The 27,657-nt window shown below is 39.4% G+C and overlaps 1 protein-coding gene across 20 annotated transcripts in view; it reads left to right on the top strand.

The window, feature by feature from the left end:
* ANKRD12 (ankyrin repeat domain 12) overlaps positions 1-27,657 on the top strand; it is a 149,205-nt gene that overhangs the window by 16,608 nt on the left and 104,940 nt on the right. For 2 of the 20 annotated variants that reach the window (XM_047437385.1, XM_047437389.1), the window contains exon 1: positions 22,165-24,014. The exons of the other annotated variants lie outside the window; for them this stretch is intronic. The gene's annotated coding sequence lies outside the window, so the exon portion shown is untranslated. Of the gene's footprint in view, positions 1-22,164; positions 24,015-27,657 lie in introns of those variants that run through there. 20 annotated transcript variants of the gene reach the window in all.

Here is a 27,657-nt window from a genome sequence, read left to right on the forward strand (position 1 = left end):
AGTTTGATTTCTTTTCCTCTCTAGAACATTTTGAAATCCTTTGTCTTTTTCAGTTTCGTTGTAATGTGTCTGTGTATAGTTCATTTTCCTGGTTTGGCCCTTGGATTCATGTTTACTTACTCATTTATCAAATATTGAATTTGTCAGGAGCCTACTGTGTGTCCCAGGATGTATTCCAGACAATTTAATCTGAGTTCTTTCACCTTTTCTTATTTGGGGGAAATTACTGGTCATTTTTTCAAATATTTTGTTTTCTCCATTTTCTTCTCTTTATGGAAAAATTATTGGTCATTTTTTTCAAGTACTTTGTTTTCTTCATTTTCTTTTCTTTACAGGAATTCTGTTGTATGGATTTTGTCACTTCTAGTTTCTGTATGTCTCTTAACTTTTAATATTTTGTTTTTTTCTAATCCCTTCCTGATGTCTTCTGGGACTGTCTTCTCTACTTGTTCTTCTAGCTCACTAATTCATTCTTTGGCTTATCTATTATATACCTAATCTGAAGAGTTCTTTATTTCAACCCATGTATGTTCATACTCTGTATTGGTTCTTTTTTGTAACTACTTAGTTCTGCATGTTATCAGTCTTCTAGCTCTAAGAGGATTTTAAATGTTTTGAAAATTCTTCATGTGTCTTTTCCATTAATTCTGCTTTGTATACACATAGCTTAGTTTGAATGGGAAACCAATGAAAAAGTTCAAGCAGGGCGGTGATATAATTTGATTTTTAGTTTTAAAAGATTACTCTGCGGCTGGGCACAGTGATTCAAGCCTGTAATCCCCCAGCACTTTGGGAGGCCGAGGCAGGAGGATGACTTGAGCCCAGCAGTTCAAGACCAGTCTTGGCAACATGGCAAAACCCTGTCTCTACAAAAAATACAAAAATTAGATGGATGTGGTAACATGTGCCTGCAGTCTCAGCTACTTGGGAGGCTCAGGTGGGAGGATTGATCACTTGAGACTGCAGTGCACCATGATCATGCCACTGCACTCCAGTCTGAGCTACAGAACGAGATCCTGTCTCAATAAATGAATGAATGAATGATTACTCCAAGTCAGGTGCAGAAGCACACACCTGTACTCCTAGCTGCTTGGGCGACCGAGGTGGGCAGATCGCTTGAGCCCAGGAGCTTAAGGCCAGCCTGGGCAACATAGTGAAACTCGTCTCTTAAAAAACAACAACAACACACACTCTGGCTACTGCCTGTAGAAGATGGGGGTGTGTATAAGGTGGAGGTGGTGACAAGAATGTAAGCAGGAAGATATTTGGGAAGTGTTTGCAATAGTCTATTCAAGAGATGATGGTGGCTTGGATTAGGATGGTAGCAAGTGAGATGGGAAGACATGAATTTAATTTGTGGTATATTTTAGAGATGGAATCAGCATTTCTGAATTTCTGGCTTAAGTGATGGATGGATGTTGGTGGCATTTATTGGAATAGAGAAGATTAACAGAAAAGAGTTCTCTGTAGTCCTTTTTGGTTTGGTTATGCCTATTAGATATCCATGTGAAGATGTCAAGTGGGTATTTACATACACAAATCTGGAGTTTTAGAGAAGGTCTAGGACTAGAAATACAGAGTTGGAAATCAGTGGCTTATTAGTGGTATTCAAAGCCATGAGACTGGATTAGGTTTTCTAACTTCACACATTTAGGTACCATGGCTTAGTGAATAAAAATAGACCTAGCCTAAAATGCTGAGGCACCCCTAATATTTACAAGTTCTTCAGAAAAGAAGAGATTAAAAAATAAGAAAGTTGCTTCTTGGAGAAGTGGGGAGGGTTAATGGGTACAAAAAGTAGAAAGAATCAATAAGACCTAGTATTTGCTGTCACAGCAGAGTGACTATAGTCAAAAATAATTTAATTGTACATTTTTAAGTAACTAAAAGAGTATAATTGGGTTGTTTGTAACACAAAGGATAAATGCTTGAAGATAATTTTCAGGATAAAAATGCGCCATAATTTGTTTAACCAGGTATAAATGGATATGTAGATTTCCCCTCCAGTGTTTTGGGCATACTAGTAACACTTCCTTGAATGTCTTTTTATATTATCTTTACATATTTGTGTAAGTACACCTGTAGGATAATCCCAGAAGTAGAATTACTAGAAGAGAAGACTGTGCGTTTAAATTTTTATGGTTTCTGCCAAATACCTCTCCAAGGAGAATATATCCCAATTTTTATCCCCATCAGCAGTGGATTAAAATGCTGGTTTTCCCAAACCCTTGCCAACAGTTTTAATCTTGGTCAGACTTTTAAGTGAGAAGTCATGTCATTATTTTATAGTTTCAAAACTGTGAATGAGTTTGCATACTTCTGTATGTTTACTTTTGTGTTTTTTGTTCTTTGTTCATGTCTTCTGATTTTTTTTGTAATTTTTCTGTTTTTCACTGATTTGTTATACCTCTTGGATTATTCTTTTTCATATGTGTTGCAAATGTTTTCACTTGTTTTCTGATTTCTGTTTATGATGTTTACATTGTAGAAATTTTAAATTTTTATTTAGGCTGAGGTGGGCGGATCGCTTGAGGCCAGGAATTCCAAAGCAGCCTGGCCAACATGATGAAACCGAATCTCTACTAAAAATGCAAAAATTAGCTGTGCATGGTATTGCATGCTTGTAATCCCAGCTACTTGAGAGGCTAAGGCAGGAGAATCGCCGCTTGAACTGGGGAGGTGGAGGTTGTGGTGAGTCAAGATCACGCCACTGCACTCCAGCCTGGGCAACAGAGTGAGACTCTGTCTCAAAAAAAAAAAAAAAAAAGAAAAAGACTTTTGACTTTTATGTCACATTTTGGAAAGGCTTTCTCTATCCAAGGATTTTTCCCCTAATACTTATATGGTTTAATTTTTATATTTTTTTTGTCCCAGATGCCAACATTTTTACCTTGTCATAATTAATTCTGAAATTCATTTGGTGAGAATTAAGATAATTTTGAAAAAGAAAAACGGTGAGGAGGGAGTAAAATTAGTATTAGAAAGCTGTACAATAAAAACAGTACAGTATTGATACAAGAATGGAAAGACAGAGTATTGGTGGAACAGACTAGAAAGCCTGAAAAGAGATTTAGTTATTAACATATAAAGGAGTAAGAGTGTGGTTTAAAAATAAAAATTGGCATTATAGGTAAGTGGATGAAAAGAGTTAAACATCAAAAGTAGTTGAAATAAGATTGAATGTATTCTGATCTTTGGCTAGAGAAGCTTTATATCTAAAAGCAAAGGAAGGATTTATCAAGAAAACTACAGGCATCAAAAATATATTTGCATTGTTTACCCATGTTTATAGCAGCATTATTCACAATAGCCAGAAGGTAGAAACAGCCCAATATCCACTCAGCAAAATGTGGTATATACGTAAATGGAATATTACTCAGCTTTAAAAAGGAAAGTATTGGCTGTGTAGAGAGCATTGAAAAAAAATTGTGACACATGCTACAGCATGTGTCAGAACTTTGAAGTCAGTATGCTAAGTGAAATAATCTAGTCACACAAAAGGAAAAATATCATATGATTGCACTTGCACGAAGTGCCTAGAGTAGGTTCATGGAGATAGAAAGAATGGTGATTACCAGGAGCTGGGAAAAGTGGGAAATGAGTTTTCTTGTTAAATGGGTTTCAGTTACAGAAGATGATCAAGTTCTAGAGATAGATGGTAGTGATGATTGCATGACAGTGTGGATGTTACTCAGTGCCACAGAACTCTGAACCGTGCTTCTAGAATTAGGATGGCGTTACATCCCAACTAAACAATAGTTGAAAATACTATTAAGTTAAAAATGCATTAATACACCTAGTCTACTGAACATCATAGCTTAGACTAGCCTCTGTAAATGTACTCAGCATACTTACAGTAGCCTACGGTTGAACAAAATAACATGAAGCCTATTTTATAATAAAGTGTTGATCATCTCGTGGTTGTTTACCCCTGTCATCGTGTGGCTGACTGGGAGCTGCCCAGCATCACAAGAGAGTATACTACCACATACCAATAGCCTAGGAAAAGATAAAAATTCAAAAATCAAAGTACTGTTTCTAGTGAGTACGTATGACTTTTGCACCATTTATAAAGTCCAAATATTGTAAGTCGAACCATTGTAAGCTGAGGACCATCTGTATTTAAATATAGTTAAAATGGTAAATTTTATGGTGTGTGTGGGTGTGTGTGTGTGTGTGTGTGTGTGTGTGTGTGTGTATATATATATATATGTATTTTTTTTTTTTTTTTTGAGATGGAGTCTTGCTCTGTCTCCCAGGCTGGAGTGCAGTGGCATGATCTCGACTCACTGCAACCTCTGCCTCCCTGGTTCAAGCGATTCTTTTGCCTCAGTATGTTATGTATATTTAATCACAGTTCTAAAAAATATGCAACAAAAATGACAGCATCGGTTTTCCTCTTACAAATCGATAGGAAAATGATTGCCACAGCAGAAAAATGACCAAAGATATTAACAAAAATTCTGAAAAACAAAAATAAAGTAAGTGGCTTAAGTGGAGTAGAAAAGGTTTTTAATCATGAGAAGTCAAAGAACTTAAGTGGTCAAACTGAGATGGGATATAGACGTGAAACCAGGATGGGGGCAGGATTTGAGGTAGAGATAAAGGCTGTGAGTGACACAAAGTCAATATGAGGTAAAGTAACTAGAGATGTAGATGTTTTCTCTGAAGAGGATGGAGTCGTTGCTTAATGGCTTCCAAACCATCAGAGTTACCTGAGAAACTTTTTAAAATAAACTTCTTGCTTTAGTAGAGTGGTTTTAGATGTACAGAAAAACTGTGAAGATAGTACAGAGGTTTCCTGTGTACCTTTATACCAGTTGCCTCTATTAACATCTTACATTGGGATGATACATATGTCCCAAATAAAAAACCAATATTAATAAATGATTGTTAACTAAAGTTCATACTTTATTCAGATTGCCCTAGTTTTTTGAATGTCCTTTTTCTGTTCCAAGGTCCCATCCAGGATACCGCATTACATTTAGTTATCATGTCTCCTTAGCCTTCTCTTGGCATGACAGTTTCTGAGACTTCCCTTGTTTTTGATGAACTTGACAGTGTTAAGGAGTACAGTGAGGTAAGTGTAGGATGCTCCACTATTAGAATTTGTCTTAAGTTTTTCTCATGATTAGGCTGGGGTTATGGCTTTGAGGAAGAGGATCACAGAGGTAAAATGTCATTTTTATCACATCTTATCAAGGGTACATACTATCAACATGACTTAGCACTATTAGCATTAACCTTGATCACCTGGCTGATAATAGTATTTGTCAGGTTTCTCTACAGCACAGTTACTCTTTTTTTCTCCTCTTTCCATGCTGTATTCTTTGGAAGAAAGTCACTCTACCCAGGCCACACTTACATGCTCTTCCTCCTAGAGAGGAGATGTCTGCATAAACTATCTGCAGTTCTTCATGGAAGACTTACTCATTCTCTCTCATTTAGTTCTTAATGGAAGACTTACTCAATGTCTCTCATTTATTCACTTTACTAATCAGTGTGGACTTGTAGATGTTGATACCTTGGGTTATAATCCAATACTACTATATTCTGTTTTTCAATTTTTTTCTGGCATTGTCTGTTGGGACCCCTTTCACTTTGCACCTGTATGCCTTTGACATATCACTATTATTTATGTATACTTATTGAGTACTTCCTTTCTGGGAGTGCAAGATTATCCAGACTCATCTTTTGTTTCCTGCCTTGGCCTAGGATCAGCCATTTCTCCTTTTACTGAGAAAGGTTAATAACCAAGATCTGCATTTTAGGTGTGCTTCTTGCTACTGGGCTGTTGCGGCTTGTGGATTCTCTCCAGCTGACATAGTAAGGAAATATATGTGTATATTACTAATTCTATATACATATCTATAATTCTATATGTAAGTTTGTGTCTGTATTAAAGTAAACAAGAGTTTATATTCATATTTCCAGCTGTAATCCATTACCACATTCTAGCCACCTTCTGACTTGTCTGTCTGTAACCTACCACCCCAACAGCAAGAAATCTGGCTTCTATTCGCCATCCATTTATTTTTTTACTTTTTTATTTTCATTTTTTGAGATGGAGTCTTGCTCTGTCGCCCAGGCTGGGGTGCAGTGGCGCAATCTCGGCTCACTGGAATCTCTGCCTCCCGGGTTCCTGCCATTCTCCTGCCTCAGCCTCCCGAGTAGCTGGGACTACAGGCGCCTGCCACCACGCCTGGCTAAATTTTTTTTTTTTTGTATTTTTAGTAGAGACAGGGTTTCGCCGTGTTAGCCAGGATGGTCTCGATCTCCTGACCTCGTGATCCACCCGCCTCGGCCTCCCAAAGTGCTGGGATTACAGGCGTGAGCCACTGCGCCTGGCCCTTCACCATCCATTTATTAATATTTAATTGTTCATTTTCTTTATACATGTATAGTAGTTTCAGATTTTTTTTTTTTAATTATTTGAGACAGAGTCTTGCTCTGTCACCCAGGCTAGGGTACAATGTCATGACCATAGCTTACCACAGCCTCAAACTCCTGGGCTCAAGTGATCCTCCTGCCTCAGCCTCCCAAGTAGCTGGGACTACAGATGTCCACCACCACACGCAGCTCATTTTAAAATATTTGTTACTCTTGCCCGGTGGCTCATGCCTGTAATCCCCGCACTTTGGGAGTCCGAGGTGGGCAGATCACTTGAGCTCAGGAGTTTGAGACCAGCCTGGGCAACATGGTAAAACCGTGTCTCTACCAAAAATACAAAATATTAGCTGGGTGTGGTGGCATGGGTCTGTGGTCCCAGCTACTTGGGAGGCTGAGGTGTGATCACAGCTCAGTGCAACCTCAGCTACGTGGACTCAGGTGATCCTCCCACTTCAGCCTTCTGAGTAGCTGGGACCACAGACTGTGCTGAGGCACCTGGCTAATTAAAAAACAATTTTTTTAGAGATGGGTTCTCACCAGCTCAGTCTGGTCTCAAACTCCTGGCCTCAAGTGATCCTCCTACCTTGGGCTTCCAAAGTGCTAGGATTATAGGCATGAACTCCTGTGCCCAGCTTAAACTATTTTAAGTATATAATCCAGTGGTTTTTTTAGTATATTCACAGTGATGTGCAGCTATTGCCACTGCCTGATTCCAGAACACTTGTCATCGCCCAAAGGAAACCCTTGTAACCATTAAGCAGTCACTCCATATTTTCCCAGTCCCCTGGCAAGCACTGATGGAGCTTTCTAAAAAGTGTTTTTTTATCACTCTACTCAGATACTCCGATTCAGTAGCTCTGAAAATGAAGCTAGGGATCTGTATCTTTTTTAAAAAGTATTCTTCTTGCTTCTGGTAACCAGGGAAGTTTGCGTTATCAAGTGTTATGAGCCTAAAAGAACAGCTTATTAAATTTGAGAGTAAATTGTAATGTTCTAGAAGCAGTTAATATGAATCAAGGAGCACCTAATCAAAGCTAAAAACAGTGCCAACACAATTTGATCGTCTTTAAAAGTCAGTTTAGATAGGGTTGAAATGAAAGAAATCATTTTATAAACTGTCAGCCTGTTGCATTTGTGTTTAGATTTCAGGTAAATTTAATCTGTAGTCAGTATTCATCCATCACTCAGTTTTGGTGTATTTTGTTCTCCTTGGTTTCCCCTAGTTTTTGTTTTTTGTTTTTGTAGAGATGAGGTCTCACTATGTTGCTTAGGCTAGTTTTGAACTCCTGGGCTCAAGCAATCCTCTTGCCTTGGCCTGTGTGTGTGTGTGTTGTTGTTGTTGTTGTTTTCCTTAAATTTTTTAAAAACTCCTGCTTACCTTAGTTCAGTCAGAGGGAAGCTATCCTTCTCCATGACCTCCAATACCTTAGTAAAACTGAGCTCTTAAAGAGTGAGTACTTATTGCCCAGTATGTAGCCATGGTAAAACTAAGTATATCTGAAAACTTAGTTGTGAAAGATTTGTAGACAGACTTTAACTTTGATCCCTTTTTGTCCTTTTTTTTCTCTATTTCTGTTTTTATTTTATTTTATTTATTTATTTTTATTATTTTTTTGAGACAGAGTCTCGCTCTGTCACCCAGGCTGGAGTGCAGTGGCGCGATCTCGGCTCACTGCAAGCTCCGCCTCCCAGGTTCACACCATTCTCCTGCCTCAGCCTCCTGAGTAGCTGGGACCACAGGCGCCCGCCACCACGCCTGGCTAATTTTTTGTATTTTTAGTAGAGACGGGGTTTCACCGAGTTAGACCAGGATGGTCTCGATCTGCTGACCTTGTGATCCGCCCGCCTCGGCCTTCCAAAGTGCTGGGATTACAGGTGTGAGCCACTGCACCTGACCTCTTTTTATTTTTAATAGAAAAAAGAATTGTGTATAGTTACGGGGTACTATGTGATATGTTGATGTGTGTGTGTGTGTATATATATATAAAATATATATATATGGAATGATTATACCAAGCTAATTAACACATTCATTATCTCTCATATATTTTGTTGCAGTGAGAACATTTACCTACATTATTTATTTATTTATAACGTTTTTTAGAGACAGGGTCTCACTCTGTTGCCAGGCTGGAGTGCAGTGACACAATCATAGCTCACTGCAGCTTTAAACTCCTGGGTGCAAGCCATCCTCCTGCTCTAGCCTCCTGAGTAGCTGTGACTACAGGGGCATGCCACCACACCCAGCCAATTTTTTTTCCTTCAGCTTTTAAGTTATGGGGTACATGTGCAGTATGTGCAGGTTTGTTACCTAGGTAAACATATGCCGTGGTGGTTTGCTGCACAGATCAACCCATCACCTTGGTATTAAGCCTAGCATCCATTAGCTATTCTTCCTGATGCTATCCCTCCCCCAACCCCTCCCTCCTAAAGGCCCCAGTGTGTTTGTCCCCCCCCACCCCAATATGTCCATGTGTTCTCATCGTTGAGCTCACACTTATAAGTGAGAACATGTGGTGTTTGGTTTTCTTTTCCTGTGTTAGTTTGCTGAGGATGATAACAGCTTCCAGCTCCATCCATGTCTCTGCAAAGGACATGATCTCTTTCCTTTTTATGGCTGCATAGTATTCTGTGGTGTATGTTTACCACATTTTCTTTATCCAGTCTATCATTGATGGGCATTGGGGTTGATTCCATGTCTTTGCTATTGTGAAGAGTGGTGCAGTGAAGATACACATGCATGTATCTTTGTAATAGAATGATTTATATTCCTTTGGGTATATACCTAGTAATGAGATGGCTGGGTCAAATGGTATTTCTGCCTCTAGATCTTTGAGGAATCGCCACGCTGTCTTCCACAATAGTTGAACTAATTCCTAACACTCCCACTAACAGTGTAAAAGCATTTCTTTTTCTCCACAACCTCGCCAGCGTCTGTTTCTGGACTTTTTAATAATCGCCATTCTGACTGGCATGAGATGGTATCTCATTGTGGTTTTGATTTGCATTTCTCTAATCAGTGATATTGAGTTTTTTTTCATGTTTGTTGGCTGCATGAATTCTTTTCTCGAAAAGTGTCTGTTCATGTTCTTTGCCCACTTTTTAATGGGGTTGGTTGTTTTTTTCTTATAAATTTAAGTTCCTTGTAGACTCTGGATATTAAATGTTTGTCAGATGCACAGATTGCAAAAATTTTCTCCAATTCTGTAGGTTGTCTGTTCACTCTGATGATAGTTTCTTTTGCTGTGCAGAAGCTCCTTAGTTTAATTAGATCCCATTTGTCAATTTTTGCTTTTGTTGCAATTGTTTTTGGCGTTTTCATTGTGAAATCTTTGCCTGTGCCTGTGTCTGGAATGGTATTGCCTAGATTTTCTTCTAGGATTTTTATAGTTTTGGGTTTTACATTGAAGTCTTTAATCCATCTTGAGATAATTTTTGTATAAATTGTAAGGAAGGGATCCAGTTTCAATTTTTTTGCATATGGCTACCCAGCTCTCCTAACACCATTTATTAAATAGGGAATCCTTTCTTCATTGCTTGTTTTCGTCAGGTTTGTCAAAGGTCAGATGATTGTGGGTGTGCCATCTTATTTCTGAGTTCTCTGTTTTGTTCCATTGGTCTGTGTGTCTGTTTTTGTACCAGTACCTTGCTGTTTTGGTTGCTGTAGCCCTGTAGTCTGGTAACATGATGCCTCTAGCTTTGTTCTTTTTCCTTAGGATTGTCTTGGCTATACGGGCTCTTTTTTGGTACCATATGAATTTTAAAGTAGTTTTTTTTCTAATTCTGTGAAGAACGTCAATGGTAGTTTAATGGGAATAGCATTGAATCTATAAATTACTTTGGGCAGTATAGCCATTTTCACAATATTGATTCTTCCTGTCCATGAGCATGGAATGTTTTTCCGTTTGTTTGTGTCCTCTCTTATTTCCTTGACCAGTGATTTGTACTTCTCCTTGAAGAGGTCCTTCACCTCCCTTGTTGTATTCCTAGGTATTTTATTCTCTTTGTAGCAATTATGAATGGGAATTCATTCATGATTTGCGCTCTGCTTGCCTGTTGTTGCTGTATAGGAATGGTAGTGATTATTGCACATTGATTTTGTATCCTGAGATTTTGCTGAAGTTGCTTATCAGCTTAAGACGCTTTCGGGCCGAGACAATGTGATTTTCTAGATATAGGATCATGTCTTCTGCAAACAAAGGTAATTTGACTTTCTCTCTTCCTATTGGAATGCCTTTATTTCTTTCTCTTGCCTGATTACCCTGGCCAGAACTTCCAATACTGTGAGAAATGGTGAGACAGTGCATCTTTGTCTTGTGCTGGTTTTCAAGGGAAATGCTTCCAGCTTTTGCCATTTAATATGATAATAGCTGTGGGTTTGTCATATATGGCTGTTATTATTTTGTGGTATGTTCCTTCAGTCCCTAGTTTATTGAGAGTTTTTAACATGAAGGGATGTTGAATTTTCTGAAGGCCTTTTCTGCATCTGTTGAGATAATCATGTGGTGTCTGTCTTTAGTTCTGTGTATGTGATGAATTACATTTATTGATTTGTGTATGTTGAACCAACCTTGCATGCCAGGGGTGAAACCAACTTGATTTTTTTGTGTGTCTGTCTCCTTCAGTTCAGCTCTGATCTTGGTTATTTCTTGTCTTCTGCTAGCTTTGGTGTTTGTTTGCTCTTGGTTCTCTAATTCTTTTAGTTGTGACATTAGGTTGTTAATTTGGTATCTTCCTAGCTTTTTGATGTGGGCATTTAGTGCTATAGATTTCCTTCTTAACACCGTTTTAGCTGCATCCCAGAGATTCTAGTACGTTGTCTCTTTGCATTCGTTTCCAAGAACTTCTTGATTTCTGCCTTAATTTTATTCACCCAGGAGTCATTCAGGAGCAGGTTGTTCAGTTTACATGTAGTTATGTGGTTTTGAGTGAATTTCTTCGTCTTGAGTTCTGATTTGATTGTGCTGTGTTCTAAGAGAGTTTGTTGTAATTTCAGTCGTTTTGCATTTGCTCAGGAGTGTTTTATTAATAATTGTGATTATGTAATCAAATTTAGAGTAAGTGCCATGTGGCAATGAGAAGAATATATAATCTGTTGTTTTTGAGTGGAGCGTTCTGTAGATATCTGTCAGGTCTGCTTGATCCAGAGCTGAATTTAGGTCCTGAGTATCTTTGTTAATTTTCTGTCTCTATGATTTGTCTAATATTGTCAGTGGGGTGTTAAAGTCTCCCACTATTATTATGTGTGAGTCTAAGTCTCTTTGTAGGTCTTTAAGAACTTGCTTTATGAATCTAGGTGCTCCTGTATTGGTTGCATATGTACTTAGGATAGTTAGCTCTTCTCGTTGAACTGAACCTTTTACCATTACGTGATGTCGTTTGTCTTTTTTTGATCTTTGTTGTTTTCAAGTCTGTTTTGTCAGAAACTAGGATTGCGACTCCTGCTTTTTTCTGTTTTCCATTGCTTGGTAAGTTTTCCACCATCCCTTTATTTTGAGCCTATGTGTGTCTTTGCATGTGAAATGGATTTCTTTTTTTGGCGGGGGGCAATGCCTTTTTTATTGTGGTAAAATATACATAACATAGAATTTGGCACTTTAGCTGTGTTTGAGTGTACAGTTCAGTAGCATTAAGTACATTCACATTGTCATGCAACCATCACCACTGTTCTTCATCAGAATGTTTTCGTCATCCCAAGCTGAAACTTCATACCAATTGAACACTGACTCTGCATTCCCTCTCCCTGAGCCCCTGGCAACCACCATCCTAATTTATATCTATGAATTTGGCTATTCTAAGTACTTCACACAAGTGGAATCATATAGTATTTGTCCTTTTGTGACTGGGTTATTTCACTTGGCATAATGTCTTCAGTGTTCTTCCATGCTGTACATGACATGTGTCAGAATTTCCCTCCTTTTTTTATTTATTTTTATTTTTTTATTTTATTATTATTCTACTTTAAGTTTTAGGGTACATGTGGACAACATGCAGGTTTTTTACGTATGTATACATGTGCCATGTTGGTGTGCTGCATCCATTAACTCATCATTTAGCATTAGGTATATCTCCTAATGCTATCCCTCCCCCCCTCCCCCCACCCCACAACAGTCCCTGGTGTGTGATGTTCCCCTTCCTGTGTCCAAGTGTTCTCATTGTTCAATTACCACCTATGAGTGAGAACATGCACTGTTTGGTTTTTTGTCCTTGCGATAGTTTGCTGAGAATGATGGTTTCCAGTTTCATCCATGTCCCTACAAAGGACATGAACTCATCATTTTTTATGGCTGCATAGTATTCCATGGTGTATATGTGCCACATTTTCTTAATCCAGTCTATCATTGTTGGACATTTAGGTTGGTTCCAAGTCTTTGCTGTTGTGAATAGTGCCGCAATAAACATACGTGTGCATGTGTCTTTATAGCAGCATGATTTGTAATCCTTTGGGTATATACCCAGTAATGGGATGGCTGGGTCAAATGGTATTTCTAATTCTAGATCCCTGAGGAATCGCCACACTGACTTCCACAATGGTTGAACTAGTTTACAGTCCCACCAACAGTGTAAAAGTGTTCCTGTTTCTCCACATTCTCTCCAGCACCTGTTGTTTCCTGACTTTTTAATGATTGCCATTCTGACTGGTGTGAGATGGTATCTCATTGTGGTTTTGATTTGCATTTCTCTGATGGCCAGTGATGATGAGCATTTTTTCATGTGTTTTTTGGCTGCATAAATGTCTTCTTTTGAGAAGTGTCTGTTCATATCCTTCACCCACTTGTTGATGGGGTTGTTTTTTTCTTGTAAATTTGTTTGAGTTCATTGTAGATTCTGGATATTAGCCCTTTGTCAGATGAGTAGGTTGCAAAAATTTTCTCCCATTCTGTAGGTTGCCTGTTCACTCTGATGGTAGTTTCTTTTGCTGTGCAGAAGCTCTTTAGTTTAATTAGATCCCATTTGTCAATTTTGGCTTTTGTTGCCATTGCTTTTGGTGTTTTAGTCATGAAGTCCTTGCCCATGCCTGTGTCCTGAATGGTATTGCCTAGCTTTTCTTCTAGGGTTTTTATGGTTTTAGGTCTAACATGTAAGTCTTTAATCCATCTTGAATTAATTTTTGTATAGGTGTAAGGAAGGGATCCAGTTTCAGCTTCCTACATATGGCTAGCCAGTTTTCCCAGCACCATTTATTAAATAGGGAATCCTTTCCCCATTGCTTGTTTTTCTCAGGTTTGTCAAAGATCAGATAGTTGTAAATATGCGGCATTATTTCTGAGGGCTCTGTTCTGTTCCATTGGTCTATATCTCTGTTTTGGTACCAGTACCATGCTGTTTTGGTTACTGTAGCCTTGTAGTATAGTTTGAAGTCAGGCAGTGTGATACCTCCAGCTTTGTTCTTTAGGCTTAGGATTGACTTGGCAATGCGGGCTCTTTTTTGGTTCCATATGAACTTTAAAGTAGTTTTTTCCAATTCTGTGAAGAAAGTCATTGGTAGCTTGATGGGGATGGCATTGAATCTATAAATTACCTTGGGCAGTATGGCCGTTGTCATGATATTGATTCTTCCTACCCATGAGCATGGAATGTTCTTCCATTTGTTTGTATCCTCTTTTATTTCATTGAGCAGTGGTTTGTAGTTCTCCTTGAAGAAGTCCTTCACATCCCTTGTAAGTTGGATTCCTAGGTATTTTATTCTCTTTGAAGCAATTGTGAATGGGAGTTCACTCATGATTTGGCTCTCTGTTTGTTTGTTATTGGTGTTTAAGAATGCTTGTGATTTTTGTACATTGATTTTGTATCCTGAGACTTTGCTGAAGTTGCTTATCAGCTTGAGGAGATTTTGGGCTGAGACGATGGGGTTTTCTAGATACACAATCATGTCATCTGCAAACAGGGACAATTTGACTTCCTCTTTTCCTAATTGAATACCCTTTATTTCCTTCTCCTGCCTGATTGTCCTGGCCACAACTTCCAACACTGTGTTGAATAGGAGTGGTGAGGGAGGGCATCTCTGTCTTGTGCCAGTTTCCAAAGGGAATGCTTCCAGTTTTTGCCCATTCAGTATGATATTGGCTGTGGGTTTGTCATACATAGCTCTTATTGTTTTGAGATACGTCCCATCAATACCTAATTTATTGAGAGTTTTTAGCATGAAGGGTTGTTGAATTTTGTCAAAGGCCTTTTCTGCCTCTATTGAGATAATCATGTGGTTTTTGTCTTTGGTTCTGTTTATATGCTGGCTTACATTTATTGATTTGCATATGTTGAACCAGCCTTGCATCCCAGGGATGAAGCCCACTTGATCATGGTGGATAAGCTTCTTGATGTGCTGCTGGATTCGGTTTGCCAGTAATTTATCGAGGATTTTTGCATCAGTGTTCATCAAAGATATTGGTCTAAAATTCTCTTTTTTTTGTTGTGTCTCTGCCAGGCTTTGGTATCAGGATGATGCTGGCCTCATAAAATGAGTTAGGGAGGATTCCCTCTTTTTCTATTGATTGGAATAATTTCAGAAGGATTGGTATCAGCTCCTCCTTGTACCTCTGGTAGAATTCGGCTGTGAATCCATCTGGTCCTGGACTTTTTTTCATTGGTAAGCTATTGATTATTGCCTCAATTTCAGAGCCTGTTATTGGTCTATTCAGAGATTCAACTTCTTCCTGATTTAGTCTTGGGAGGATGTATGTGTCGAGGAATTCATCCATTTCTTCTTGATTTTCTAGTTTATTTGTATAGTGGTGTTTATAGTATTCTCTGATAGTAGTTTGTATTTCTGTGGGATCGGTGGTGGTATCCCCTTTGTCATTTTTTATTGCGTCTATTTGATTCTTTTCTCTTTTCTTCTTTATTAGTCTTGCTAGTGGTCTATCAATTTTGTTGATCTTTTCAGAAAACCAGCTCCTGGATTCATTAATTTTTTGAAGGGTTTTTTGTGTCTCTATTTCCTTCAGTTCTGCTCTGATCTTAGTTATTTCTTGCCTTCTGCTACCTTTTGAATGTGTTTGCTCTTGCTTCTCTAGTTCTTTTAATTGTGATGTTAGGGTGTCAATTTTAGATCTTTCCTGCTTTCTCTTGTGGGCATTTAGTGCTATAGATTTCCCTCTACACACTGCTTTGAATGTGTCCCAGAGATTCTGGTATGTTGTGTCTTTGTTCTCGTTGGTTTCAAAGAACATCGTTATTTCTGCCTTCGTTTCATTATTTACCCAGTAGTCATTCAGGAGCAGGTTGTTCAGTTTCCATGTAGCTGAGTGGTTTTGAGTGAGTTTCTTAATCCTGAGTTCTAGTTTGATTGCACTGTGGTCTGAGAGACAGTTTGTTATAATTTCTGTTCTTTTACATTTGCTGAGGAGTGCTTTACTTCCAACTATGTGGTCAATTTTGGAGTAGGTGTGGTGCTGAAAAGAATGTATATGCTGTTGATTTGGGGTGGAGAGTTCTGTAGATGTCTATGAGGTCCACTTGGTGCAGAGCTGAGTTCAGTTCCTGGGTATCCTTGTTAACTTTCTGTCTCGTTGATCTGTCTAATGTTGAAAGTGGGGTGTTAAAGTCTCCCATTATTGTGTGGGAGTTTAAGTCTCTTTGTAGGTCACTAAGGACTTGCTTTATGAATCTGGGTTCTTCTGTATTGGGTGCATATATATTTAGGATAGTTATCTCTTCTTGTTGAATTGATCGCTTTACCATTCTGTAATGGCCTTCTTTGTCTCTTTTGATCTTTGTTGGTTTCAAGTCTGTTTTATCCGAGACTAGGATTGCAACCCCTGCCTTTTTTTGTTTTCCATTTGCTTGGTAGATCTTCCTCCATCCCTTTATTTTGAGCCTATGTGTTTCTCTGCATGTGAGATGGGTTTCCTGAATACAGCACACTGATAGGTCTTGACTCTTTATCCAATTTGCCAGTCTGTGTCTTTTAATTGGAGCATTTGGCCCATTTACATTTAAAGTTAATATTGTTACGTATGAATTTGATCCTGTCATTATGATGTTAGCTGGTTATTTTGCTCGTTAGTTGATGCAGTTTCTTCCTAGCATTGATGGTCTTTACAATTTGGCATGTTTTTGCAGTGGCTGGTACCAGTTGTTCCTTTCCATGTTTAGTGCTTCCTTCAGGAGCTCTTTTAGGGCAGGCCTGGTAGTGACAAAATCTCTCAGCATTTGCTTGTCTGTAAAGTATTTTATTTCTCCTTCACTTATGAAGCTTAGTTTGGCCGGATATGAAATTCTGGGTTGAAAATTATTTTCTTTAAGAATGTTGAATATTGGTCCCCACTCTCTTCCGGCTTGTAGAGTTTCTGCCGAGAGATCAGCTGTTAGTCTGATGGGCTTGCCTTTGTGGGTAACCCCACCTTTCTCTCTGGCTGCCCTTAACATTTTTTCCTTCATTTCAACTTTGGTGATTCTGACAATTATGTGTCTTGGAGTTGCTCTTCTCGAGGAGTATCTTTGTGGCATTCTCTGTATTTCCTGAATTTGAATGTTGGCCTGCCTTGCTAGATTGGGGAAGTTCTCCTGGATAATATCCTGCAGAGTGTTTTCCAACTTGGTTCCATTCTCCCCGTCACTTTCAGGTAAACCAGTCAGATGTAGATTTGGTCTTTTCACAAAGTCCCATATTTCTTGGAGGTTTTGTTTGTTTCTTTTTATTCTTTTTTCTCTAAACTTCTTGCTTCATTTCATTCATTTGATCTTCCGTCACTTATACCCTTTCTTCCAGTTGATCGCATCGGCTGCTGAGACTTCTGCATTCGTCATGTAGCTCTGGTGCCTTGGTTTTCAGCTCCATCAGGTCCTTTAAGGACTTCTCTGCATTGGTTATTCTAGTTATCCATTCGTCAATTTTTTTTTCAAAGCTTTTAACTTCTTTGCCATTGGTTTGAATTTCCTCTTGTAGCTCGGAGTAGTTTGATCTTCTGAAGCCTTCTCTCAACTTTTCAAAGTCATTCTCCCTCCAGCTTTGTTCCATTGCTGGTGAGGAGCTGCGTTCCTTTGGAGGAGGAGAGGCGCTCTGATTTTTAGAGTTTCCAGTTTTTCTGCTCTGTTTTTTTCCCATCTTTGTGGTTTTATCTACCTTTGGTCTTTGATGATGGTGACGTACAGATGGGTTTTTGGTGTGGATGTCCTTTCTGTTTGTTAGTTTTCCTTCTAACAGACAGGACCCTCAGCTGCAGGTCTGTTGGAGTTTGCTAGAGGTCCACTCCAGACCCTGTTTGCCTGGGTTTCAGTAGCAGTGGCTGCAGAAGCGCAGATGTTGGTGAACCGCAAATGCTGCTGCCTGATTGTTCCTCTGGAAGTTTGGTCTCAGAGGAGTACCCGGCCGTGTGAGGTGTCAGTCCGCCCCTACTGGGGGTGCCTCCCAGTTAGGCTACTCGGGGGTCAAGGACCCACTTGAGGAGGCAGTCTGCCCGTTGTCAGATCTCAAGCTGTGTGCTGGGAGAACCACTACTGTCTTCAAAGCTCAGTTGGAAATGCAGAAATCACCCGTCTTCTGCGTCGCTGATGCTGGGAGCTGTAGACTGGAGCTGTTCCTATTCGGCCATCTTGGCTCCTCCAAGCATGAAATGGATTTCTTGAAGACAGCGTACTGATGGGTCTTGACTCTATACATTTTGCCATTCTGTGTCTTTTAATTGGGGCATTTAGCTCATTTACATTTAAGGTGAATATTGTTATGTGTGAATTTGATCCTGTCATCATGATGCTAGCTGGTTATTTGTTAGACTTGTTTATGTGGTTGCTTTATAGTGTCACTCGTCTGTGTACTTCAGTGTGTTTTGTAGTGGCTGGCAGCGGAAAGGAAAGTTTTTCCTTTCCATATTTAGTGCTTCTTTTGGGAGCTCTTTCAAGACAATGATGAATACCCTCAGCATTTGCTTGTTTGAAAAGAATCTTATTTCTCCTTTGCTTATTAAGCTTAGTTTGGCTGGATATGAAATTCTGGGTTGGAAATTCTTTAAGAATGTTGAGGCCAGGTGCGGTGGCTCACGTCTGTAATCCCATCACTTTTGGAGGCTGAGGTGGGTAGATACCTGAAGTCAGGAGTTCGAGACCAGCCTAGCCAACATGGCAAAACCCCATCTCTACTAAAAATACAAAAATCGGCTGGGTGTGGTGGCATACACCTGTAATCCTGGCTACTTGGGAGGCTGAGGCAGGAGAATCACTTGAACCCGGGAGGTGGAGGTTGCAATGAGCTGGGATCGCACCATTGTACTCTATCCTGGGCAGGAAGAGTGAAATGAAGCTCCACCTCAAAAAAAAAAAAAAACGAATGTTGAATATTGGTCCCCAATCTTTTTTGGCTAGTAGGGTTTCCACTGAGAGGTCTGCTGTTAGTCTGATGTGTTTCCCTTTGTAGGTGGCCTGGCCTTTCTCTCTGGCTGCCCTTAACATTTTTTCTTTCATTTTGATCTTGGAGAATCTGATGATTATGTTTCTTGGGATTGATCATCTTACTGGGGTTCTCTGGATTTCCTGAATTTGAATGTTGGCCCTTCTTGCTAGGTTGGAGAAGTTCTCCTGGATGATATCCTGAAGTATGTTTTCTAATTTGATTCCATTCTTCTCCTGTCTTTCAGGCACCCCAATCAGTCATAGGTTTGGTCTTTTTACATAGTCCCATATTTCTCGAGGTTTTGATCATTCCTTTTCATTCTTTTTTCTCTATTCTTGTTTGCCTATCTTATTTCAGAAAGACAGTTTTCAAGCCCTGAGATTCTTTTCTCTGCTTGGTCTATTCTGCTATTGATACTTGTGGTTGCATTGTGAATTTCTCATCTTGTGTTTCTCAGCTCCATCAGGTCAGTTATGCTCCTCTCTAAACTGGCTATACTGCTTAGAAGCTCCTCCATTTTATCATGATTCTTAGCTTCTTTGCATTGGGTTGCAACATGCTCCTTTAGCTCAGCCAAGTTCATTATCACCCACCTTCTGAAGCCTACTTCTATCAGTTCAGCCATCTCAGCCTCAGCCCAGTTCTGTCCCCTTGCTGAAGAGGTGTTGTGGTAATTTAGAGAAGAGGCACTCTGGCTTTTTGAGTTTTCAGCGTTTTTTGCATTATTTCTCATCTTTGTGGGCTTATCTACCTTTGATTTTTGAGGTTGCTGATCTTTTTTTTTTGTTTTTTGTTTTTTTGTTTTTGTTTTTTGAGACAGAGTCTCGCCCTGTTGCCCAGGCTAGAGTACAGTGGCACAATCCCAGCTTACTGCAACCTCAACCTCGTGATCTGCCCATTTCAGTCTCCTAAAGTGCTGGGATTATAGGCGTGAGCCACTCTGCCCAGCTGAGGTTGCTGATTTTTTTTTTTTTTTTTTTTGAGACTGAGTTTAGCTCTATCACCCAGGCTGGAGTGCAGTGGCACAATCTTGGCTCACTGCAACCTCCGCCTCCCGGGTTCAAGCCATTCTCATGCCTCAGCCTCCAGAGTAGCTGGGATTACAGGCGCCTGCCACCATGCCTGGCTAATTTTTGTATTTTTAGTAGAGATGGGGCTTCACAATGTTGGCCAGGCTGGTCTCAAACTTCTGATCTCAGGTGATCCGCCCTCCTCGGCCTCCCAAAGTCTGAGATTACAGGCATGAGCCACCACGCCTGGCCAGTTGCTGACCTTTAAATGGGGTTTTTGTGGTGTCTTTTTTGTTGATACTCTTGTTGTTGTTTTCTGTTTTTCTTTTAACAGTCAGTGCACTTTTCCATAGGGCTGCTGTAGTTTGCTGGGGGATTGCTGCAGACCCTAGTTGTCTTGGTCTTTCCTTTACCTGTAGGTATATCACCAGTGAAGGCTGTGAAACAGCTAAGATGGCAGTCTGCTCCTTCCCTTGGGAGCTCCATCCCGGTGGGGTGGTGGGGGGGGGGTAGGGGGGGCAGTACTGACCTGTTGCCAGCCTGGATGCTGCTGTAGAAGGTGTCTGGAGATCCCCGTTAGGAGGTCTCACCCAATCAGGAGGGACAGGATCAGGGACCTGCTTAAAGATGCAGTCTGGTTGCTTTTTGGTAGATCAGGTGTGCTGAATTGGGGGTAACCGTTCCTTGCCCAGACTGCCTGGACTCTCCAGAGCCAGCCCGCTTAGAAAGGCTGAGTCATTCGTGTACCCTAAAACTTAAAGTATAAAAAAATAATAAGAAGAAGAAAGGCTTAGTCAACTGAACCGCAGAGACATTGGGCACTCCTCCCCCTAGGGGCTTGTCCCAGGGAGAGATCAGAGTACTGTTCATATAACCTTGGCTGGAGTTGCTGAAATTCCCTCAGGGAGGCCCCACCCAGTGAGGAGGGATGGATTGGGGTCCCACTTAAAAGAGCAGTCTGGCCACGATCTGGCACAGCAGCTGTGCTGCCCTGTGAGGGACTCCTCCTCATCAGGACCACCTGGATTCTTGGGAGCAGGCTAGAACAGCTGGGTCAACTGAACTGCAGAAATGGCAGCCGCCCCTCCCCCTGAAAACTCATCCATTTTAGGCAGTCTCTAGCCTGTTGCACTGGCTGGCTAGAATTCAAAGCCAGTGGGTTGAGGTGCCATGGAAGTGAGGCCCGCAGAATGACACTGCTTGGTTCCCAGGATTCAGCCCTCTTCCTAGGGGAGGATACGGATGGATTTCTCACCTTGTTGGGATTCCCAAGGGTGGAGTCTGTAAAACTCCTGGGTTTACGTGTGAGCCTGAGCAACTGCTCTGCCAAGACTCCGCACAGCTCTGTATGTTGGACCTAAGTAAGGCCCTGGTGGCCTGGGTTCATGAGGGGATCTCCTGATCCATGGTTGCAAAGATCCGTAGGAGAAGTGTGGTTTCCTGAGTGGGGTTACACAATCACTCACTGCTTCCCTTGGCTGGGGGTGGGGGTTCCTTTGGCTCCCCAGTGCTCCTGGGTGGGCCATTGCCACACCCTGCTTTTTTTGTTGTCTGTGGGTCATGCCATCCTCCTAATCAGTCCCAGTGTGAGAACCTGGACATTTCATTTGAAGGTGCTGAATTCACTTGCTGTTGTCATTCTTCTCTATGAGAGCCATCTTGTTTCTAATCGGCTATCTTGGCCCCTCCTGCCCCCTTCTTGTCTTACAGGTGGAAACTGAGGAATAATCCCAGTGCTTTGTGAAACTGCTATGAAGAATATTCAAGTCAGACTTAAGTTGGAAGATAGTGACTAGAGCAAACAGACCAAAGCATTTATTTATTTATTTATTTATTTATTTAATTTGTTCATTCCTGAGACAGAGTCTTGCTTTGTTGCCCGGGCTGGAGTGCAGTGGTGTGATCTCGACTCACTGCAACCTCCACCACCCAGATTCAAGCAACTCTCCTGCCTAAGCCTCCAGAGTAGCTGGGAATACAGGCGTGCGTCACCACTCCTGCCTAATTTTTTGTATGACCAAAGCATTTAAAGCATTGATTCTGAGGGCCTGGAACTCACTAAATGCTGCCAGACTCTAAAGTGATCTCAAAATAGACTTTCTGTAGTTGGAATACTTCTGTAGATATTCACTTGTATTATACATGTGCAGTCTCCATGTTTGTAGCATTCAGATATGCAAATTCTATTATTTCTGTTCCCCATAGTCCTCTAGGCCACATTGGCAACTAGAGGTGTTTTTTTCTCTCAGCCCTATCTTCTAAATAGTCTGAGTTGTCTTTCTCTGTTATTGGATTTTCTCCCTGATTCTCCCTCCTTTTGTCAGTGTTCAGTAGTTTTTCGTCCACAGAAATGGTCCCAAGGCTTCTTTCCTTCTTGATCACTTGATCAGTTTTTCAAAGGCTCCTCTTTTTTTTTTTTTTTTTTTTTTTTTTTTGAGACAGTCTCTGTCATGCAGGCTGGAGTGCAGTGGCACTATCTCGGCTCACTGCAAATTCTGCCTTGCTGGTTCAAGCAGTTCTCAAGCCTTAGCCTCTTGAGTAGCTGGGATTATAGGCAGGTGCCACCATGCCCAGCTAATTTTTTGTATTTTAGTAGAGATGGGGTTTCACCATGTTGCCCAGGCTGGTCTTGAACTCCTGAGCTCAGGCAGTCTGCCTGCCTTGGCCTCCCAAAGTGCTAGAATTACAGGTGTGAGCCACCACATTCAGCCAAAACCTCTTTTTGACAAAGTTCAGCCTCATCCTATAGGTGATTTTGTACTCTCTGCTAAGATAAAATTTTCTCCAAATTGTTAGCCTTAGGATAAAGGACAATTTATGAACCAAAAAAAACTCTTTGTTTCCTGAACAGTCAATTTAGTTATTGTACTAAGAAGTCTGTCAGACAAGACTTGTTGTATTGCAGTCACCTCAGCTTTCAAGAAGGATGTTTATCTGTGTATCATTGCTGTTGTCTTGAGTTGTGTTTTTTGATTCTGCTGGTCTTGTTACTATAACTTAGCGTTAGTTTAGTGACATTGCTAAGATAATGACATTGATTATCTGTGAGGAGTCACAGATAGGTGAACATTTTTGTTTGCCTAATATCTTTGAATGATAGAAAATTTTAGTTTTGGTTATAATTTTGAATGAGTTGGAAAACAGACAAAACACTGTTCTATTTTTTTTTTGAGACTGGGTCTGGCTCTGTCACTCAGGTTGGAGTAGCTCTGTTGCCCAGGCCAGAGTGCAGTGTGCGACCTCACCTTACTGCAACCTCTGCTTCCCAGGCTCAAGGAGTCTTCCCACCTCAGCCTCCCCAGTAGCTGGGACTACAGGCACATACCACCATGGCCAGCTAATTTTTTAATTTTTTGTAGAGGCGGGGTTTCACCATGTTGCCCAGACTGCTCTTAAACTCCTGAGCTCAAGCAGTCTGTCTGCCTCAGCCTCCCAAAGTGCTGGGATTACCAGTGTGAACCTCTGTGCCCAGCCCAAACTCGGTTCTTAAGGTGCTTATACTTAAAAAAAAAGAAAGAAAAAAGGCATCTGTACATCTTCTTTACCCAAATGATGTTTAGTTTACACTAGAGTTTTTGATGTACGTATCTTGGTACCTCAGAATAGCAACTAGAATGTTTTGCCTTCATTATAAATAAAATTATTTAGAAATAGCAGTGGTGTTAAACAATATATTTTTAGTATCCCTTGAGTGATCCCAAGTAGTTATGCCATTTAAAAAAAAAGACACCAAGAGAATACTGGGTTATTTTGTTTTAGAAGAAGATATATTTTACTGCTGTAAATTAGAGTGGAAAACTGTCTTATAGCATACATTTAGAGAATGTTAATCCTGGAAGTCAGTTGCTGTTCGATACATAGACTGTTTGGTCTGTAAGGAGCAAGAACATACTAATTTTAAGGGAAGAAACATCTTCGAAGGCAGAATAGAATCTATAAACTGCATCATTTAGCCATTGGATAACAAAGTCTACAGTAGAGCTTGCAGCTGGTTGGCTTAAACAGGAAAGTAGCCCTGAACAAGTATTAATATACTCTGTGCAGCCCTTAGGGCATGGAAATTGAAGTGCAAGCAGTGTAATAGCCACCAAGATTGTTACACGGAGAATGGAGGAATGTGAAGGACTCTTCTTAGCCGTATGAAGATAACACCAAGTATTCTCATTCAGCAAGTGGCCGTACCGCTATGCATCATTGCCCGTCCCCTCTCTCCCTCCAGCCACATATGAGAGTTCCAGTTTCTCACCAACATTTAGTCTTCTTAGTCTTTAATTTTAACCATTCTGGTGGGTGACATCTCATTTTTTTATTTTAAAATTAATCGTTTAATTGACCCATAATATTTGTACATATTTAGGGGATACATCTGATGTTTTGTTCTGTGCATAGAACATGTAATGATCGAGTCAGATTATTTAGGATATTCATCACTGAGTATTTGTCAATTCTGCTTTGGGAACATTTCAGAATGTTCCCAAATAGCTGTCTACTAGCTATTTTGAAATATATGACCTATTGTTGTTAATTATAGTCACCCTACTGTGCTGTCAAACATTAGAACTTATTTCTTCTATTTATGTTTCTACCCTTTAATCAACCTCCCTTCATCCCCCACCCTCCACACGTACCCTTCCTAGCCTCTGGTATCTGTCATTCTCTCTACCTTCGTGAGATCAACTTTTTTTAGCTCTCACATATGAGTGAGAACATCTCATTATTAATTTTCCTGGTGACTAATGAGGTTGCGCATCTTTTCCTGTGCTTATTTGCCATTCATTATATGTTATTTGCTGAACTGTTAAAATCTTTTACTCACTTTTAAATTGGGTTGTTTATCTTATTGATTCATAAGAGTTATTTATATGTTCTGGATATAAGTCCTTTAGAATTATATAATCTGGATAGAAGTCCTTTATAAAGATGTGATTTGCAAGTATTTTCTGCCAGCATGGCTGGCTTTTCATTTTCTTAACACCTTAACAGGGTAATTTAAAGAGCAGAAGTTTTTGTGAAGTCTAATTTATCCATTTTTTGCTTTCATAATTTCTGCTTTTCATTACCTATTTAAGAAATCTTTGTCTAATCCAAGGCCACTAAAATACTCTTGTTTTCTGCTAGAAGTGGTGTAGTTTTAGCTCATAAATTTAGGTTTATGATGCATTTTGAGGCTAATTTTTCTCTGTGGAGTGAGGTAAGGATCAAGATTCTCTCTCTCTCTCTCTCTCTCGTTTTTTGCATTTGGATATACAGTTTTTCCAAGACCGTTTATTGAAAGGAATATATCCTTTTCCCAGTGAATTACATTGACAGATTTGTTGAAAATCGGTTGGATTGGATGTATATGTGTAGATCTGTTTCTGGACTTTCCGTTCTGTTCCGTTAATCTATAAGTCTGTCTTTACATTAGTAAACACTGTCTTGCTTACTGTATCTTTGTTAGTAACTATGGAAGTCAGGTAATGTGAGTCTACCAATTAATTTTTTCCCAACATTATTTGGACTTTTCTAGGTTCTTAACATTTTCATATACATTATAGAAACAATTTGTCAGTTTCCATAAAAAACAAAAAAATAGATCCTGGAAATTTGACTAGGATTGCCTTGAATTTATAGAGCAATTTGGAGAGACTGACATTTTAACGACATTGCATCTTCTGATTCATGAGCATGGCATATCTTTCCATATATTTAGATCTTTTTTCACTTCTTTCCAAAGTGTTTTTGTATTTGTCATTGTACAGTCTTATATACTTTTGTTATATTTATCCCTGAGAATTTAGTGGTTTTGATGCTATCATAGGTTATATTTTAAATTTTAATTTCTGATTGCTTATTGCTAGTATGTAGAAAAATTTTTTCACATATTCACCATGTATTCTTACACATATTTTGTTATATTATCCCTAAGAATTTAGTACTTCTGATGTTGTTGTAGGTTGTATTTTTAATTTTAATTTCTAATTGCTTATTGCTAATATGTAGAAATAATTTTTATATATTGACCATGTATTCTATGTCCTTCCTATACACATGTATTAGTTCTAATAGCTTCTTTGTAGATATCTTTGCTTGTCTACATAGATTATCATGGTATCTGGAAATAAGGCCTGTTTTACCACTTTCCAAGTTGTATGCCTTTTTTTTCTTGCCTTATTGAACTTACGTAGGACCACCAGTAAGTAGTACAGTGTTGAATAGGAATGGTAAAAGAGAACCCAACATCCACGCCTCATTGTTGATCTTAGAAGAGAAAGCATTCACGTTCCCTTCTAATTCTGGTTTGCTGAGAGTTGTTTATTATTAATGGGTATTGAATGTTAGCTAACACATTTTATCTTACCTGTTGAGATGGTCATATATTTTTATGGTTTGAATTAATACACTAAATTACATAGTTTGATTTTTTTGAGGGGGGCAGGGGCAGGGCCTCATTCTGTCACCCAGACTGGAGTGCAGTGGCGTGATCATGGCTCACTGCAGCCTCGACCTCCTGGGCTCAAGCAATCCTCCCACCTCAGCCTCCTGAGTAGCTGGGACCACCTGCACGGACCACCATGCCCAGCTAATTTTTGTATTTTTAGTAGAAGTGGTGTTTCGCCATGTTGTCCTCAGGCTGGTCTTGAACTTTTAGGCTCAAGCTGTCTGCCCACCTTGGCCTCCCAAAGTGCTGGGATTACAGGTGTGAGCTCCCATACTTGGCCTGGTTTAATTTCTTTATTGTCTACGAGCAAACTTTGTATGGTTTTAATTAAATTTGTTAAAGTTTGTTTTATGACACAGAATGTGGCCTATCTTGGGGAGTATTCTGTGTGCTCTTGAAAGAGTATTCTGTTGTTGAGCAGATATTTCTGTAAACATCAATTAGAACCAACTGATTAACGGCGTTTTTCTGTTCTTATATAATCCTTGCTGATGTTATGTCAATAAAAAGTATAATAGTTGAAGCCTCCAGCTGTAGTTATGAATTTATCTATTTTGTCTATCAGTTGGCCGTTTTTGTTTCATGTATTTTGAAGCTCTGTTGTTGGTTGCATACATATGTCAGATTGGTGTGTTGTCTTAGTGTATTGACCCCTTTATCAATATGTAGTATATAATGTCCCTCTTCGTTCTGAAGTCTGTTTTGTCGATGTTGTTAATATAGCCACTCAAGCTTGCTTTCTTTCTAAGCACTTGGAAACTCAAGTACTTCCATGGGTTCTTTTTCCATTCTTTTATTTTAACCTACCTATTATTATATTTGAAGCAAACTTCTTGTTGGTTTTTTTCCCACTTTCTGGCATTCTCTGTCTTTTGGTGTGTTTAAGCCATTTGTGTTTTATATTATTATTAATATTTGGGCTTAGGTCTATATCATTTTATAATTTTGTTCTTTCTGTTTTTCATTGTTCAATTTTTCTTTTCCTGCCTTTCATTGGATTATTTGTACATTTTTTAATATTCCATTTTAATTTACCTAGTGTGATTTGTGTTACTTTTTGTATAGTTATTATATAGTGATTGCTTTAGGGATTACAGTATACATCTTGCACCCAGAAGCTAACTCAGTATTAAATGCTTAATATTAGTTGATTGAAGGAATATTTTTGGAATCCAATTGTGATTTTTATTGTTACTGCTGGCATTTTTCTAAATAGTTATTGAAAAATGGTGTAAGCTTTTCCTTACATAGAATCTATTTAATATAATATTGCCCTGTAGAATTTTCTCAAAAAATATTTGACACTCCTTTAGTTCACTAACAACTTGCTTTGCTTCATCTACAAAGGAGACATTGTTTTATCTTCATAGTCTCACTTAGGCTGATGTTTATATGTATTGTATAGCTCAGTTTTGCTTTTGAGCCAGTCTTTTTGTTTTTATGTGGCTCATAACTTTAACTCCATAAGCTTTACCAGTGGCTAGCTTTGAGGACAGTGCTATGTTTAA

Source organism: Homo sapiens, chromosome 18 (assembly GCF_000001405.40).
Source record: "Homo sapiens chromosome 18, GRCh38.p14 Primary Assembly".
In the NCBI taxonomy this organism is placed as follows: Eukaryota; Metazoa; Chordata; class Mammalia; order Primates; family Hominidae; genus Homo; species Homo sapiens.